This window comes from Homo sapiens, chromosome 14 (genome assembly GCF_000001405.40).
Source record: "Homo sapiens chromosome 14, GRCh38.p14 Primary Assembly".
In the NCBI taxonomy this organism is placed as follows: Eukaryota; Metazoa; Chordata; class Mammalia; order Primates; family Hominidae; genus Homo; species Homo sapiens.
The window spans coordinates 93,930,361-93,946,898 of NC_000014.9; the positions used below are offsets into that span (position 1 = coordinate 93,930,361).

A 16,538-nucleotide genomic window follows, 5' to 3' on the forward strand; every position below is an offset into this window, starting at 1 on the left:
TTTTGCCGTTAGTGTCCTACTAGCAAAGCTACCTGAGGGGCCTCCACCTGCACACAGGCCCAGATTTTCTCTGCTGCTGTGGACGTGGCTCCACGGCTGAGAGAGGGTGGGCCTGCTGGCCTGCCGAGCTGCTTATTTTATCAGAACACAGTTTCCACAACTAAGAAGGGTGCAGCAGGCCAGTCCCGGCTGGGGACTACGGTGCTCTCATCAACAGCGTGATGCTGGACAAGTTAATCCTCACTCTGTGCCTCAGTCTCCTCATCTCTACAATGGGGGACTAGGAAACAGGTGCAACGACCTCTTCTTCACCCCAGGCAAGTGTTGGCTGGTTGCAGGATCCCTTCTTTGGAGTCCAGACATGGCCTCTGATTCTTCCTCATTAACACAGGATGCAGGATCCATGGTCACCAAGGGCCCCTCCTACTTGCCTTGTTTTACTCCAGGATTCCCCTGGCCTGGGGAGTCCCCTGGAGGGGCAGCCCCAGCCCCAGGAAGCCAGCCAGTGGTTTCTGTCCAATGGCCTCTGAAGACTTCAGAGCCACAGAAACAGGCATGGCCTGGGCAGAGCTGTTCAGAGTCATTATCTGGCCATGGGATGAGGACAGTCCTCAACCTAGACCCTCAGCCTCAGACTGCTCTGGTCTTAAAGAGCAGCAAGGGGCTGGGGGGTGGGGTACCCTCCTCTGCCCTCTGTGTGGCATCATGCAGGCCCTCTGGATCCATGTCGATGAGCCTCAGCTCCCTGCAAACTGCATAGCAGCGGTTTAAATGCCTGCATCCTAGCCTGCCATCTATCAGCTGTGCAATCTTGGGAAAGTTACTTAACCTCTCCGTGCTGAAATTTCCTCATTTGAAGAATGTGATTGATAACAGACCTGCTGTATAGGCTGTTGTGAGGCCAATGTGAGTGCTCGGCCCACTGTGCTACCCAGATGCTCAAAAGCTTCACCAACCACAAGTCGCCTCTTGTAGTTATCTGGCGGTGTCTGTAGGTCCTGTCACGCTGACATTTTAATACCGTTTATGGGCTGTGCTGCCCAGGGAATAATGTGCCTGGACCACCCAACCAACCGCACCTGCTAGAGAGGACCTGAGCTCCAGAGGCACGTCTTAGTCTTAGACTAAGATATCTTAGTCTTTGGGGAGAAAGCTCTGGTCTCTCTGATAAGACTGGCCTGTCCCTGCTCACAGCCCCAGGGGGTACCTGATGATCCATCCATTCAAAAGTTGGGAAGCAGAAACCTCTACTAAGACATGGCCTGACAGAAGCCCCTGGCAACATGATGCCCCCACGTGGAAGCGAGGTAGGCAGAACACATGCATTTAGGAAAGCTTTGGTATTAAAAATCAGTTTTAAATCCCGCTGCAGTAACAACAGCAGATACTCCCCTAACCACAAAGTGAACGGCGCCGGTTCAAAGTAAAACCCAGAGCCAGTCCAGGCACACCTCCCCCTACCCCTTCACCATCCCCGACACCCACCGCTGGGTCAAACAGGCTCCTGTTCACAAAGGGGAATCTGTGCCAGACTTTCAGGGCTGTGTCTACTATGCTGTGAGACGTCCCTGAGGCTGCAAACCTCTTGGGGCTGGGTAGGTGCGGCTGCAGGAGGGGCCCACTTCTACAGAGGGAGGTGGCTGTAAAGTGCTCTACGCAGGAGTGATGGTCAAAATACATAATGAATGGCACAATGTGAGCACTGACCAACTGGAACCAACCCATTGGAGCAGTCCCAGGCCAGGAATGAACCCCTTAGCTGCTGGGTTGTGGGAAGATGGGGGCAGGGACCTGAGGAGGCCAAGGCTGGGCATGGCGCTTGGGGGGAGGGGTCCTGAGCAGTGTTTGACTAAGTGGCATGGACGCATGTACATTAATATTCTAAGAACCCAAATGTAGCACTAGTGTGTCCCAGGCCAGGAGGTGCCACATCCTGCAAATGGTGACTATAGAGAAAACAGTGGCTGAACCCCTCCCCTACACCTCCCACTCACCCCTTCGGCCTCACCTCCCCCAGAGTGGCACCTCCCTCAGACCAGCACACTGCCCTGCCCAGTGCCCGGGTCTCTGGGCTGGGAGATTTGTGGCTGCTGCCATAGGACTGTTTGGGACATAATGCGGCCCAGGAGATGCTGTAGGTTAAGAGTCTGCCCAAGACGCATCTCAGTACACACACACGAAACAACTCACACACTGGCCCTGCGTGCCTCATTCCATCACCACCTGCCACCCCTCGGGTCAGTTTGACCAGCAGTCACCCGAGATGCAAATGCCCTCCCTTTGGCTTCTGGGTGAGCAAAGGCGTTCTTCCATCAGAGTCATGTGGGGTTTCAGAGTCAGCTCCCCTGGGAGCTGAACCCTCCTTGGCAATTTACCCTCTGGGCTCTCAGTGTTGGGCATCCCCCAGTGGGGGAGAGTGCAGGTTTCCTTTGGGGCTTTCTTAGGATCCCCGCAGGTTCTGCCTGGTATACAGCAAGGCCGCATGGGACTGTGGCCCAGCACTGTTGAGCTGGAACCCCAGGGACTTGCTGTGTGTGCCCAGGCAAGTCCCTTCCCCTCTCTGGGCCAGTTTCTCATTTGTACCACGAAGGGGTGGGCAAGACCTGGTTGAGCCCCCTTTGACCTGTGGCCATAAAGTGCTGCTTGGAAGACTTTTTCTCTGGGAGTTACTGATTCCATAGAAGCCCAGTGTGTCTTTAGCCGGGCACAGTGTCATGCCCCTATAGTCCCAGCTACTTGGGAGGCTGAGGTGGGAGGATCACCTGAGCCCAGGAGGCGGAGGTTGCAATGAGCCAAGATCATGCCAGTGTATGTCAGCCTGGGTAGCAAAGTGAGACTCTGCCTCGAAAAAAAAAAAAGAAACCCAGCGTGTCAGAGCCGGCAAGGCCACCAGGGGCCATCATGTCTCACTATACAGATGAGGAAACTGAGGCCCCAGAGATGTAAGCCAATGGCAGAGCTGAGCCTGGAACCAGTGCTCCCCTCCACCAATCTAGCTGCTTACTTTCCAAAGGCCAGAAACTACCTTTGACCTTGTTTAAGACACTACTAGATCCTGGGGCTGGCCTAGTACAGACTCTCGGCCAGGTGGCCTGCTCCGGTGTTGCTGCAGAGTAGCCTGGACTCAGCGGCTTCATTCACACTTGTAAAGGGAGTGGTGATGAGTTACCGCAGCTTCCATGGAAATAGGGCATTCTACCTCTCAGCCCTCGGGGCCTGGAGAGACCCCCCAGAGTGCCACGTGGTGGCGAGCCTTAACTCTGCCCTGCACCACCTGAAAACAGGATGACAATTCCTGCTCTACTCAATCCACAGGGCCACATGAAGACAGAGGGAGGCACGCAGGGGCCAGAGCTCTGTGCACTCTCAGGCTTGGTGCCTTTGCAAGGGCTGACCATGGCCATCACTCTAGCACCATTGCTCACAGTGGCCAGTATTTAATTTTTTTTTCCTAGTTTCTCAACAACCAGCAAAACAGGGGTGAGCAGCGTGTGAAAACAGAGTGCCAGGAAACATGTATAAGACAACCCCAGGTGTCGGGAGACATGTGGGCCCTGAGACTGTGATGGAGTGCCTGTTTCCATGGTGATTGAACCAGGAGAGGAAAACCCATTGGGCCATCATCCGGTCTTGCCTGGGGAGTGAAGGACACAGCCTCTTGGGTCTTTCAGGAGCCCAAAGGTGACACGTTCAGGGGTCCTTGTGCCCCGTCCCCACATCTGCCTCGCTCCCGCTACTGCCAGGAGCAAGGCTGAGGACCTCAGGCTTCAGGGAGTCTGATGAGAGGGACTTCACTGGGCAGGTGTCACATGTGTAACATTTATTATATTAATACTTAACAAAGCCCTCCAAGACCCAGGCTCCCCCTACCCCCTACCTTGGGCCACGTCTTCATCTTAGTCTTTGGAGAGAAAGCTCTGAAGTCAAGTGGTGAGTTTTCCAGAACAAGTGGAGGGGCACAGGGAAGGCTCTGAGCACCACCTTCCCCAGAACACCTCAAGCTCTGCCCTGGCCCCAGGAATAGAGGTTTCTGCCATTCCTGAAGGTAGAGAAGGTCTGGGATCTGCTCATCAGTTTGTAAACAAATGATTCTTCTCCTTGACACATTCTGTTCTCTGCTCTGGCCAAAGCTCTGGGCCCTGAGACCCAGTGAGATCCTGGTAGCTGTCCAGGCTGAGAGGGAGGCAGCCTGCAGCCTCGTCTGTCACCAGGTCCCCTTGGAGTTGGGAACACCGACGTCCTGAGACTTAGTAAGAAGAGTCTGAGGGGCTACTCCTCTCTCCCCGTGGCCCCAGTTACTGGGTGTTCTCGTATTTCAGGTATCTAATCAGCCTGCCTGGGAGCGGCAAGGTGTCTAGGAGTTTTATACGGTATTTCCCAATGGCCTTTCGAACCCGCAGTCGGCAAAGGTGAGCCAGAGGTCTTGGAGGTTCTGAAAAAAGGAGGGAAAGACAGAGGCTGATTTGTCATTTGCAATAAGCAAAGGGATTGCATCTGTGACCCCAGCCTATGGGAGGTGCCCAGCTGATGTGGCTGGGTAAGAGAGGGAGTGCCTGCTGCTGGTCACCCCAGTCCCTGCCAACTAAAGAGATCCAGCAAGCCACCTTCCCATTGTTCACCCCTCATTGATCTGCACAGCCCACGCAGTGCACAGCGTGGTTAGCACACCCATTTCACAGGTGCGGAAACCGAGGCTTAGCAAGGTTCTGAGCCTTGCCCAGGATCCCTCCTGGGACTAGTGGTGGTGTCTCCCTCCTCTTGAGCCTCTTCCTCTTCACACACAGCCTGGGCCCCCAAACACAGCCTTAGCAATGGGGTCAGAGGGTTTGACCACTTAAGTGCCCCTACATGTGGAATTCAACTTGGAGCTCCCAGTGGTGCTGAGAGGCCAGGATAAGGGGGCAGAGACTGACAGCTCGCCTCGAGCTCCAGAATCCCACCTGGCTGCCTCCCCCAGGAGCCACGTAGTGGAGTTTTCTGAGCTGGGGAGTGGGTAGAGGTAAGAGCAGGGATGAACGCATCCAGTAACGGAGTAATTAAAGGGCTTGTAGAATCACAGAATGTCATTCATTCATTCATTCATTCATTCACCAGGCGAATGCTGAGCCCCTCTGTTGCACCTAGCTCTGTGCTTGGGCCAGATATGCAGAGGTGCCTGCCCAGAGGCTCTAGTGGAGGCTTCCACAAGAGACGGTGCCCTCTGAGTGAGGTCCTGGGGGAGGGGCAGGAATTTCCAGGTACGGAAGGGGGACAGGGGCATTCTAAGCAGGGAAAACAGCAAGTGGCAAGGCAAGGAAGTCATGCAAGCCTGGGGCTGGAGGGGCAGGTGGGATGTGGAGCAAGGGCGGAGGGCCAGGCGGCTGCAGCGTTGCCTAGCGAAGCATTCACACACCCATCACTGTGTTTCTGACACTTCCACTGCCCTCTGAGTTCACTGCCTTCTGAGCTCAGATTTTTCTACCACATAGTACGCCAAAGAGCAGGGAAGCATCATTCCTGTTGCCCGGGCAGCTTGCCTGGTTAGTTCCTATTACTATCTCCTAAATGCTGTGGTCTGGATAAAAAATAATGTGGTTACCTTGTACACAGAAGGTCTTGAATATATATTCATTTAATGGCTGAATTGGAATAATTAATTACAGGCATTGAGGCCAGTTAGGACACTTTTTTAATAGTCCAGAAAATAGATGGGGAAACCCTTAGGTAACAAGCTTAGAACATAACCTCCCCTCTGGGAAACTCAGCACAGGCTGCTGGTGAGCAGAGGACACGGAACCATGAGGGCTGGGCTGGCCAATCCATGGGCTCTGGGTAGTTCCTTCCCAGAATAAGGATGTCAATGTTGTAGCATTAAACAAACAAGCTCGTGGGGACTGTCTTGCAGGTGGAAAGTGGGCTTTAAAGTAACCCAAATAGATATTGGTTAAGAACGATTGGTTTTACTGGCTAACAAATGCGTACTCCACACTAAGGTCTCTGCAGGGATTTCCCTGGGGCATGGTTTAGTTGTGGGGGACCACCCTTCTCTAAGGAAGGCAGGAGAAGGTGACAGAATGGGTAGGACTGATACCTAGGCATAGACTGCTCCACCCTCTAGTGGCCAAGGATCGTGGTGACAGCAACTAATTATTCATTAGTTCCCTGAAGGTTTATCATGCGTCTAGAGTTAAGCCCTGAGTGAATGGGCAAGCTGACGCCTCCCTCCTCCATCACTGCCCCAGAAACTTTATCAAAGGCTTCAATTCAAGTGGCTTCCAGGCACCTGTGCCAATGAAAAATCCTACAGCACATTTGGGTTCACAGGGGTGTGGGGATCAAGGAGGAATGTGGTGAGTCAGAGTTGGGGCACAGGGGTGGGCCCCCCGAGGCTGCACAGTCCCACCTGGGGACAGGAGCAGTAGTGGTGGAATGACAATGACCTGCTGCAGGTCAGCCTCCTTGTAAACACTTGGCCAGGGCAGGACTGTGCCCTCAGAGCCAGAGAAAGCCCTAGGGTAGCTAGAATGCCACTGCACAGATACCCATTTCTGTCACCTGTGGCATCCTGTTTGCCCAGGTGAGCTCCAAAAATGCCTAAGAGGGATTCTGGCTTCCTCAGCCTGACTTAGCCAGGCAGCCCCATCTACTCTGCACACATCAGAGGGACAGTGGCCGAACTCCACTTCACTGTGCCTGGCACAGTTCAGGCGGGTCCAGCTGAAAGGAGCTGGACAACGAGCCTGCCCAGGCCCCTCTGTTCAGGTGGGGAGAGGCCTCACCCAGCAAGGCCCTGGCAAGGCTGGCTCCAGGGTTCAGGGGCCTGTCTCCCACACCAGGGTGTTCTGTGCACCAACAGCCTTGGTGTCACCTGGGAGCCTGTTGAAATGCAGACTCCCCGGCCCCGCCCCAGACCTGCGGAATCAGAAGCTGCATTTTTAACAGGACACTCAGGTGCTTCATGTGCACTTTAGTTTGAGACATCCTAGACCACCATCCTCCCCTCTCCCCTCCTACAATGCCTCTTGGTGGCCCCAAATCATTCACAACCTACCCTGAAGGTCCCGGTACCCCTCAGGGAGCTGTAGCTGTTTAAAACATCATGGAAAGATGTAGCGGAGAGACTCTGGGGTTGGTCAAACCTGGGTTTTAATCCCAGCTCTGCCACTAACTAACTGTGACTTTGGCCCAGGTGGCACAGCTCTCTGAGAGGCAGATTCCTCATGTTTCATCCAAGGAGTTACAGAGCCTGGCAAGCAGCAGGTGCTCACAGGGTTAGGAACAGTCGCACTCCCTGAGGCCTGGGACTCTGAGTCAGGCAGGGAGATCTGCCAGCCTTGGCAGCAGCAGCAAGTCCCTACCTGCCTTCTCCTTGATGACGGCCCAGTCCTCAAAGCTGTCGATGTGTTCCTTCAGCCGCGAGCAGAGCTGCACGTTGCCCACGTAGTCCAGGAGGACATCGATGATGGGCCCCGCCCAGCGGCTCACCTCTGGGGCAGATACGAACTCACAGAACTGAAAGAGAACATGCCGGGACCAAGAAGTGAGTTCATCCCACCTGCAAGAGCCTGCGGCCAGGGACGGCAGCGGATGTGTCCAAGCACAGACACTGTGCACACCCAGGCTAGGATCCCCTGAACCATGTCCCCTCAACACAGGCTTCTGCTGCCCAAAGTGGAAGACGGGCAACTTGAGCAAGTCACATCACCTCTGAGCCTCAATTTCCCTATCTATAAAATAGGTATATGAAACCAACTCCAAGGGGATTTAACATGAGAATTAGGTAATATGAACATAAACTTTGCACACAGTAGGCAGCCCATGAATGATCGCCATTAACCATTAAAACAATGAGCTCCAGGAGAGGAGTGTGTCTAACTTCCTTTTAAGTTCTGACTTTTTTTTTTTTTTTTTTTTTTTTTGAGACAGAGTCTCGCTCTGTGCCCAGGCTGGAGTGCAGTGGCGCGATCTCGGCTCACTGCAAGCTCTGCCTCCTGGGTGCACGTCATTCTCCTGCCTTAGCCTCCCGAGCACCTGGGACTACAGGCGCCGGCCACCACACTTGGCTAATTTTTTTGTATTTTTAGTTAAGACGGGGTTTCACCGTGTTAGCCAGGATGGTCTCGATCTCCTGACCTCGTGATCCGCCGGCCTCGGCCTCCCAAAGTGTTGGGATTACAGGCGTGAGCCACCGCGCCCGGCCAAGTTCTGACTTTTAAAGTAACAACATGGACGTGTCCTGCCTCTGGGTCGCTGGCTTTCTGCTTCTGACCTGACCCTACACCAGCCTGCTCTTGACATGCCTTTCCGGATCGTGCTTGTTTCACATCGCATTCCAGGTGTAGGTTTGCTGGAGGTGACGAGCCTCTTAGTTTGGCAGAGTTCTCCGCTCCATCATTGGTTCCTTAAATTCCCCAACGCAGTGGACCACAAGAAGGATTTCACCGTTCCAATGCACCACTAAGTTCTGCGGCCTCTTAAGTGTGCTAACCACCGGTTCCGCTGCCTCCAAAGTGAGCTAACCCCTAGTTCCCTCCAAAGCTCCCTCCAAAGCGCCCTAAGCGCTAACCCACGCTACCCAGGACGCAGGTTAACCACCGTGCTCTGCTGCCTCCAAAGCTGGCCCCACTTCCCCCGAAGGGTGTTAATCACTAGTCCACGCTGCTCCCAAGGAGCGCGAACCACCCGGCCCCGCCCGCCTCCCATGCGCGCGCGCGTCCCTGGGCCACACCCAAAAGGCGTGCTCCCCACCGCCAGCGTGCGCTGCCCACCTGCACCACGCTGGGCTCCTTGTCGGCCGCGGGCGCGTCGTTGAACCTGCTGGAGGGCTGCGGGGCCGGCGGGTGCGGGCCGTTGCCGTAGAGGCATGAGAAGCAGGGCTCGCCGTCGCAGCCCAGGTCCATGAGGAACTTGAGCAGCGACAGGCACTTCATGGCGAACATGATGGTGGCGGGGAAGGCGGTGGGGTGCGTGGCGATATAGGCGTCGATGTTCGCGCCGTGGTCCAGCAGCAGCTGCATTGTGCGCAGGCAGCCGTGGCGGATGGCCACGAGCAAGGGGCTGATGACGTCGCGGTTGGGGTCGGCGCCGTGTTGCAGCAGCAGCTCGGTGGCGTACACGTTGTTGTTGACCACCGCGAAGTACAGCGCGGAGCTGCGCCGGTCTTCGTAGAGGCGCGCGCGCTCGGGGGCCAGCGGCGTGTTCACGTCGAAGCGCGCGCTCAGCAGCGCCTCCAGCACCTCGTCGTGGTTGCGCTCGGCCGCCAGGTGCAGCGGACTGACGCCGCTACGGCGTATGCGCGTGCGGCTGGTCACCGGCAGCAGCATCTGCACGATCCTGCCGGGTCGAGGGGCGGGCGCGGGTGAGGGGAGGGTCGGGGTGTGGACGGGTAGGGCCGGCCCCGCCAGCAGGAGAGCTCGGGCGCCAGGCTCGGCTGGTCGCCCTGACCGCGGGCTGCGACGCGGATCCCACCGGCAGGGGGCGCCGCGGGTCAACCATTCTCACCCCACTGGGCAGGGTGGGTCGGCTGCCGTCTCCGCTTTACAGATAAGGAAACTGAAGCTCAGAGAGCTTCAGCCACCCTCCCAAAGTCACATAGCCAGTAAGGGGCAGAGCTGGGCTTCAGACCCAGAACCCTTGGCCTCCGAAGTCTGAGTTCTTAAAAACCTCAGCCAGACTGCACTAGGGTTTCAAGAAGCTCCCACTAATTTATTTCAGGCTAAGCGCTGTTGCCCATTGCCAGCTCAGTTATTTGGAGGAATTGCCTGGAAGGCCCCCAAACCCAATGAATGTCCAACCTCCTCCCTGCAGGAGGCAGTAGAGCCTAGTGGCGAAGTTTGGAGCCAGACCCTGCTCTCTCTGGGGGAGGACGGACAGGGACAGCCAGATCCCAGAGCCCACCGTGTGCCAGGAGGCTCCTAAAGGCTTTACAAGTGCGATTGGGTTTAATCTTTACAATAACCCCTAAAGCAAGGCTCATCATTCCCATTTTGCAGATGAGAAGAGTCAAGACTCTGAGAGATTAAGGGGCTTGCCCAGTCATACAGTCAGAATAGGGGAACCAGGGTGTGTGCCCTCCTCTGACTCCAGGGCTGAGCTGTCCCTATCTTGCTGTCCTGGGACCCCAGTGGAGCCACGAGATCCTGAGGACAAAAGGGGACAAATGTGTTTGGCCCCAACTAATTTGGCCCCAACTACTACTGCCCCAGGCCCCAACCAGCCCATTGTGACCATGAGGTCACTTACACTCCTCTCCTGTCAGTCTCAACGCCTCCTCCCCGAAGGCTGACGCTAGCTTCTCCCAGTCTCTCTGCCTCACCTTCTGGGTGTGGAGAACTTGGTCAGCCACTGCGGAAGCCTGAGCTCCCTGCAACCACCAGTTCCTCTCTTCCCTAAAACACGAGCACTGATCTCAGCACTTTACCTCTATTCATCTGTGAAATCCTCCCAGTAGCCCTCTGAAGTGAGTACTGTAATATCCTCATTTCAGAGATGAGGAGACATAAGCCCAGAGAAGGTATGTGACTCCTCCAAGGATACACAGCCAGTAAGTGATGGAGCCAGGATTTGAACCCAGGCAGTCTGACCCCAAAGCTACACTCTTAACAATGCCCCTACCTCTTGTGTAGCAGTCAGGGTGACAGTTAATATATCCCGGGGTTTTGCAGTCTTCATAATGTGTTAACTTGCCTGCCCATTTTACCTTCACTTCAGCCCTGGGTGGGAGTGGCCGGAGCAGGCCTGTGGCCTTCTTTTTAACAGATGTGGCTCAGAGAGCCGAAGTGACTAATCAGGGGTCATAAGACAATTCTGGGGGCTCAACCCCAGGACTCTTTACCCCTTCTCTTGGCTCTCTTCTCCTACAGCCCTGCCACCTGCAAGAACAAGCTCCTGCACCAATATGATTCCAGACCCTAATCCATCCAATCCCTGCTGACAGGTGACCTCACAGCCTCCTGTGGGACTCCAAGGAGGTGGCCATTACAGGGGGTGGGGCGGTGGGGGAAGGGGAGAGAAGCAGGTGCCACCAGGCCCATTCCCACGCCTCTGGCCTCCTGGCACACAGGCTTCCTGGAAATCTGATGCCAGCGACCTCCTGCTGGGATCTCAGTGGAAAGTATTATGATTGTTAGTGATGCTGTGTTTGGCTAAAATCTGACTCTAAAACCTCAAAAGGAAATTCACACACCCGGGGGGCTAATTGCCTCCTAATTTCTATTTGTGTAGGCACAGGAGGCCTGACTTTGCTCTGCAGAGGTGCTGGTCAAAGGCAGGCCTGGGCCTCACCCTGGATGGCGGCCACGGCCAACAAATGCTCTGCTAACAGCTGTAACGTGCCCAAGAACGGGAAAGAACAGTGAGAGGGGCTGCCCCGGGGCCGCTGGACAGATGGGGCTGGTATCTCTGGCAGGTCACAGCTGGTCTCCGGCAGTTCTCCACGAACCAAGGGAAAGTGGCAGAAATGTGGGAACTTGAGCATTGTCTCAGTTATGTGGTGAATCATCTTACTGCGGCAGGACTCTGCCAATCAGAAAGTGAATGTGTAACGCCGGACAGGCTCTGGAGATCAGTGCGTCCAGCTTTCCCATTTTACACAGAGTAAACCTGAAGCCCAGGCTTGGGGTGGGGAACAGAGTGAGGTTGGACAGAAGGTGGGTGGTGCACAAGAGCAAAATACAGGTCTCTGGATGTCCAGGGCCAAGCCTTCTACGATGCCCCTCTCCTCCCAACTATGGGAGCGGCCACGTTGGTAGCCCCACTGCACATCATCACTCCTCTTCCCAGCCCATTTTGTGGGGCAGAGGACAGGAGGACAAGGGGGTGACCCCACCAAACAGTCTGACTCTTCCCACTTCTCCCACAGGCACGTTTTGGATTCTCAGAGTATAATTGCTCAAGCGGCACCTCATGAAGAGGAACAAAGGTGACTATTGTCTGATAGAGCCGTAGGTGTCTGGAAGAATGGCCCCCTACCCCTTCCTTGTCCCCTCCCCAATGCAGAGGCCACAACTACCAGCTTAGCCTTTCCTGTCTGGGCCCTGAGACCGGAGCAGATCCAGCTCAGGGTCATTCCAGGAAGACCCAGTGCAGCAGTGTGGCAGGTGCTGAGCTGTCTCTGACCTTGGACCTCATTCCGAATCACTGGGCTCTTGTCTTGTTCCTAGGACCCACCAGTATCTGAAGCCTGACATCCTTGCCCCAGGTCTGGGCTCCCACTCCAGGATTCTAGTTTCCTCAGAGCAGCAGCCTTGCCATACCACCTGGCCCTGGCTCTGATGTCCTTCCTGAATCTAGCCCAACAGCAGGGGAATGGGCAGAGAGCTTTGAGCCAACGCAAGCTGTCCTTAGCTAGAGAGGGGCCCAGCATGGGCAGTGGGGAAACTGGGAGGCTCAGAGTCAGGGGTACATGGGTTACACACCAGCTCTACCCTTCAGCACTGGGCCAGCGCAAGCATGTCACTTAACCTCTCTGAACCGCACCTAAAGCAGAGGGGTAATTAATTGTAATAATAGTGATGATGATGATGATGATGATGATGGTGATAGCTATAGCTACCCTTTATTGAGCTCCAGTGGGTTGCTGTGAGCACTTTACCCCTTACCTTCTTAAGTCATAATTGTGCTAATATTGCTGAGCGCTTACTGTGTGCCAGGTACCATTTAAAGTGGTCCTCACATTTGTTTACTTCATTTAATCCTAGCATGACCCTCAGAGCTAAGAACTTAATCTCATTTACTCATTTACTCATAACAATCCGGCAAGGTAGGACTGCTTACAACCCCAGGTCCAGGTTACAAAGCACAATGTAATGATCTTTCACCAAGGCTGCTTCTGAGTATAAATGAGATCTTTCCCATGAATCTGATTGGCCCGTAGTCGGCAGTGAATGAACAATGCTCTTGGTATCTTGACCACCACCACAACTGCAGCCTACTGCCCCTGCTACCCTAAACACAGAGGCATTCTGGATCACCAGGTCACTGTGCTTTGACCCTTGTCAGTGTTCAATGTAAATTTGGATGGAGGGCCGGGCGCGGTGGCTCACGCCTGTAATCGGAGCACTTTGGGAGGCTGAGGCGGGTGGATCAGTTGAGCTCAGGAGTTCGAGACCAGCCCGGGCAACATGATGAAACCCGGTCTCTACTAAAATACAAAAATTAGCCAGGCACAGTGGTGGACACCTGTAATCCCAGCTACTTGGGAGGCTGAGGAAGGAGAATCACTTGAACCCAGGAGGCAGAGGTTGCAGCGAGCCAAGATTGTGCCACTGCACTCCAGCTTGGGTGACAGAGAGTCGGTCTCAAAAACAAACAAACAACAACAAAAACATTGGCTGGAGGATTGACATGGGAACCAGTTGCCCACAGACGGCTCCATTGCCAACACTTCTGAGCTTCACTGTGCCACCCTGACTTGTTTTCTATGAAGTCTTGAGCTCTGAGCCTCAGTTTCTCTTTTAACTAATGGGGATATTAACTTGCTTGTCAGTGTGCTTTATAAGCTGCTTTTTAATTTAATGTGTTAAGTGTTCTCTATTTTGCCTTATTCTAGGAAGAATTTCAAGTGGCTTGCAAAGATTGATAAAATACAGCAAAAGTGTTATATGTTGGAACTAAAAGAGAAGGAATATTTAAAAACGAGGGAGGCAGAAGTAAGGCCCAGAATGCAAGTCTGTGTTTTCTGTTGGCCACAGAAGAGGCTCTAAGATCCTGATTCTCTACCCAGGCTGCACAGTAAAATCTCCCGGGCAGCTCTTAGACACCTTGAAGCCTCAGCCACGGCCCAGACCAGCGGCAGCGCCATCTCGTCAGGTGGGGCCCAGGCATCAGGGTTTCTGGTGCAGCCAAGGTTGGACACTACTGTTTTGGGTGCTATTCTTGGGGCATCTGCTCTGCGCTAACTCACACAGTTTCTTAATACGTCTATCTTTGGTGTTGATCTTTGATTTCATACGGTGGCTTTGCTAAACTGGAAATGAACAACAGGAAAATGCGTGTCTTGGAGGTGACTGCGACATCGGGACTTTAGGGCTCCTTTCTCAGCACACCCGCATGTCACCCCTTGCGGTTAAGTGTGCTGACGAGAAGACACCATCTGGCAAACAGCCTTCGGCTCCTGGTGCTGCCTTCCATGCCTGGGACGGATGGCCAGGGTGTGTTGGCAGGTGGCAGAGTGTGGAATGCCTATGGAATGTCACATCAAATCCCCGAGCAGAGGGCCTTTAATGCTGTATGCCCAGGGAGGGAGTGATGAGCTCGGGGCTTGCTGGCCATGGGCTCTGCCTGGTGGCAGAAGCTGCTGGGAACCAGGCTTTAACCCTTTGTTGCTTAGCCCTAAAAAGTGGCCCAGGCCCCTCTGAGCCTTGGGGGACAGAGGGAAATGGGGCCCGGGGGTGGAGGTTGAATAACCAGGGAATTCGCCCTGGGAATCCACGTGAATCCAAGGTAGATGAGTTTACAGGAACATCAGCCATGGACACAGTGTTCCAGGCAGGACGCGCCTTACTCTCTGATCATCCGCAAGGCCACCTAGTGCCCCTTCAGCTTCTCCTCCAGCTGGGGCCAGACTGCCAACACCTCTGGGTTCACTTGAAGGCAGCCCAGATGAAGGTCCCAGCCCTGCCGCTATCTCAAAAATCACTTCCATATCTGACCTTGGCTTCCTTCTCTGTAAAACCAGGGCCTGAATTAGATCAATGGTCCCTGCAGCTATAGACAGGCTGTATCTGATTTGCTCAGGGAGCTTTTCAAAGAGACAGTGGGGCTCCTTCTCTCCTGGAGATTCTGATTCACCGGATCTGATATGGCATTTTAAAAATAGCCCAGAGGGACATGGATGTGCAGGCTAGAATTGGGGGGCAGTGGGCCAGGAGATTTCCAAAGTGCACCCACTTCCCGTGTGTTCACTCTGGATCTCTCTGGGGTCAGGCTCAAGGTAAACTGTGTTTGCCCAACTCTGACTGATGCCCGATGATTTGTGGAACTCAAGAGAAAGGAGCCGTCTTGTCCATGCCCACTGCCTGGCTTGAGCTGCTGTCTGAACCGCTCAATCATGGAATGCACTCTCCCTAAGTAAGAGTGGGTGAGCATAGGACGCCTGAGCACACACTGGGTGCAGGCGCTCTGCTAGGTGCTTTTTTCCATTCTATATCCGTACGTATCCATTTTACTGGTCCTCCGACAACCCCATGAGGCGGGTGTAACCATTTCCCATTTTATAAATGAGGAAAATGAGGCTCAGCAAGGTTAAGCAACTTTCCCAATGGCCTCAGCAGGGATTCACACCCAGATCTGTCAGCCTTGTGGACAGCTGTGCTGTCCAGAAAAGGCTGGGTCTCCTCTGTGTATGTACTGGGGGGTGTGGGGAGTGGGGAGGGCATCTTTGGGTGGTCTTGGTGCAGGCAACCTGCACAGAAGGGGCTGGAGCTTTAAGGGGCGGCTCTGAAGCCTTGAGTCTTCATTTCAGTCTTTGGAATGTCACTTTGACCCCATTTCCCTCTGCCTTAGTGAAGACAACAAACATGCCCCAATACACGCAGTCTGTGCTTCTCACTCTCCTGCCTGTCTGGAAGATTCGGGTGTGTTTCCCCAAGTGTCATCAGGGTACATGAGATGGGATTTTAAATGAAATGTTTTTAAAATTGATTGTAAATGGATAACATACTAGTGTGATAAATGTTTCCTCTTCAAAATAAATTCATTGTAAGTAAAAACATTATTTAAAGGAAAAATTACTAAACGATGAGAGTATAGATATTTAAAATCAGGAAGAAAATCTGTGAATGGACAGTTTGGGAAGCACTGTCCAGCAAAAAGGGTCAGATGCTGGGGTTTAAGTCCTAGCCCTGGGGACGGGGCTTTCAAGGGGCAAATCTCTTAACTACCAGAGTCTTCGTTTCCTGTCCTGTAAAATGAAAATCCGGGTTGACCCGCATACCCGCAGCACAGTGTGAGGCTCACATGGGAGGCAGATGAGTCACACTCTGGAAATGACCAAGCCCTGTCCATCCTTCAAGGGCAGCTGGAGCTTCACCTCTGCGGCCCAGGCTTCCCCATGTAGCAGTGCTGCTGGGAATGCTTAAAAACTGGCTCAAGCAAGGGCAGAGAAGGGGGAAAGGACTCTGGTTTGTAGCATTTGCCTATTTCCCCATGTAAATATTCCCCCATGGCCAATTTTAAGCTATCAATGTGAGGTCAGTAAACACAGAGTTGGGAAGAGGTGTGCAGTCGGTTCCTGAGAACAGGCACGAGCTGGCTCTAGCACACCTCTGCCTCTAGCCCCGGCTCGTCTGTCTCCACAGGAGCCATGCAGCTCTTCGGCATGCTCTTTCATGATGTCATGAATTCACATGTCTGTGCTTCTTCCCTTCCTCCAGATTGCTCCTTGGGAACTTAAGCCTCTCTCTTCTCACTCAGAGTATCTAGCACTTAGTAATTGCTCAATAACTGCTAGTTCTTATCATTGGTGCTATTTGTGTTATTGTAGGTTTTCCTTGCATGCTTGCTAATTGCCTGGGAGGTTATCCTTGCATTCCTGTACTCCCGGAAATATTCATTAGCTC

At 53.8% G+C, this 16,538-nt stretch overlaps 1 protein-coding gene across 7 annotated transcripts in view, besides 2 other annotated features; it reads right to left on the reverse strand.

Moving 5' to 3' along the window:
• Positions 1-3,805: 3,805 nt before the first annotated feature.
• Positions 3,806-16,538, reverse strand: part of ASB2 (ankyrin repeat and SOCS box containing 2) — a 42,405-nt gene continuing 29,672 nt past the window's right edge. For all 7 annotated transcript variants that reach the window (XM_047431473.1, XM_017021369.3, XM_011536834.4 and 4 more), the window contains 3 exons: positions 8,748-9,312; positions 7,338-7,491; positions 3,806-4,432 (listed from right to left, as the gene is read on the reverse strand). In XM_047431473.1, the coding sequence (XP_047287429.1) occupies positions 4,296-4,432; positions 7,338-7,491; positions 8,748-9,312 (856 nt within the window). In that variant the 3' untranslated portion in view covers positions 3,806-4,295. The remainder of the gene's footprint in view (positions 4,433-7,337; positions 7,492-8,747; positions 9,313-16,538) is intronic.
• Positions 10,826-11,326: an enhancer, noted in NCBI's record as "H3K4me1 hESC enhancer chr14:94407532-94408032 (GRCh37/hg19 assembly coordinates)". NCBI's record gives its function as "activates a minimal SCP1, AML or CMV promoter by ChIP-STARR-seq in naive H9 embryonic stem cells {active_cell/tissue: H9 hESC(naive)}" and the evidence as "EXISTENCE:reporter gene assay evidence [ECO:0000049][PMID:30033119]".
• Positions 11,327-11,827: an enhancer, noted in NCBI's record as "H3K4me1 hESC enhancer chr14:94408033-94408533 (GRCh37/hg19 assembly coordinates)". NCBI's record gives its function as "activates a minimal SCP1, AML or CMV promoter by ChIP-STARR-seq in naive H9 embryonic stem cells {active_cell/tissue: H9 hESC(naive)}" and the evidence as "EXISTENCE:reporter gene assay evidence [ECO:0000049][PMID:30033119]".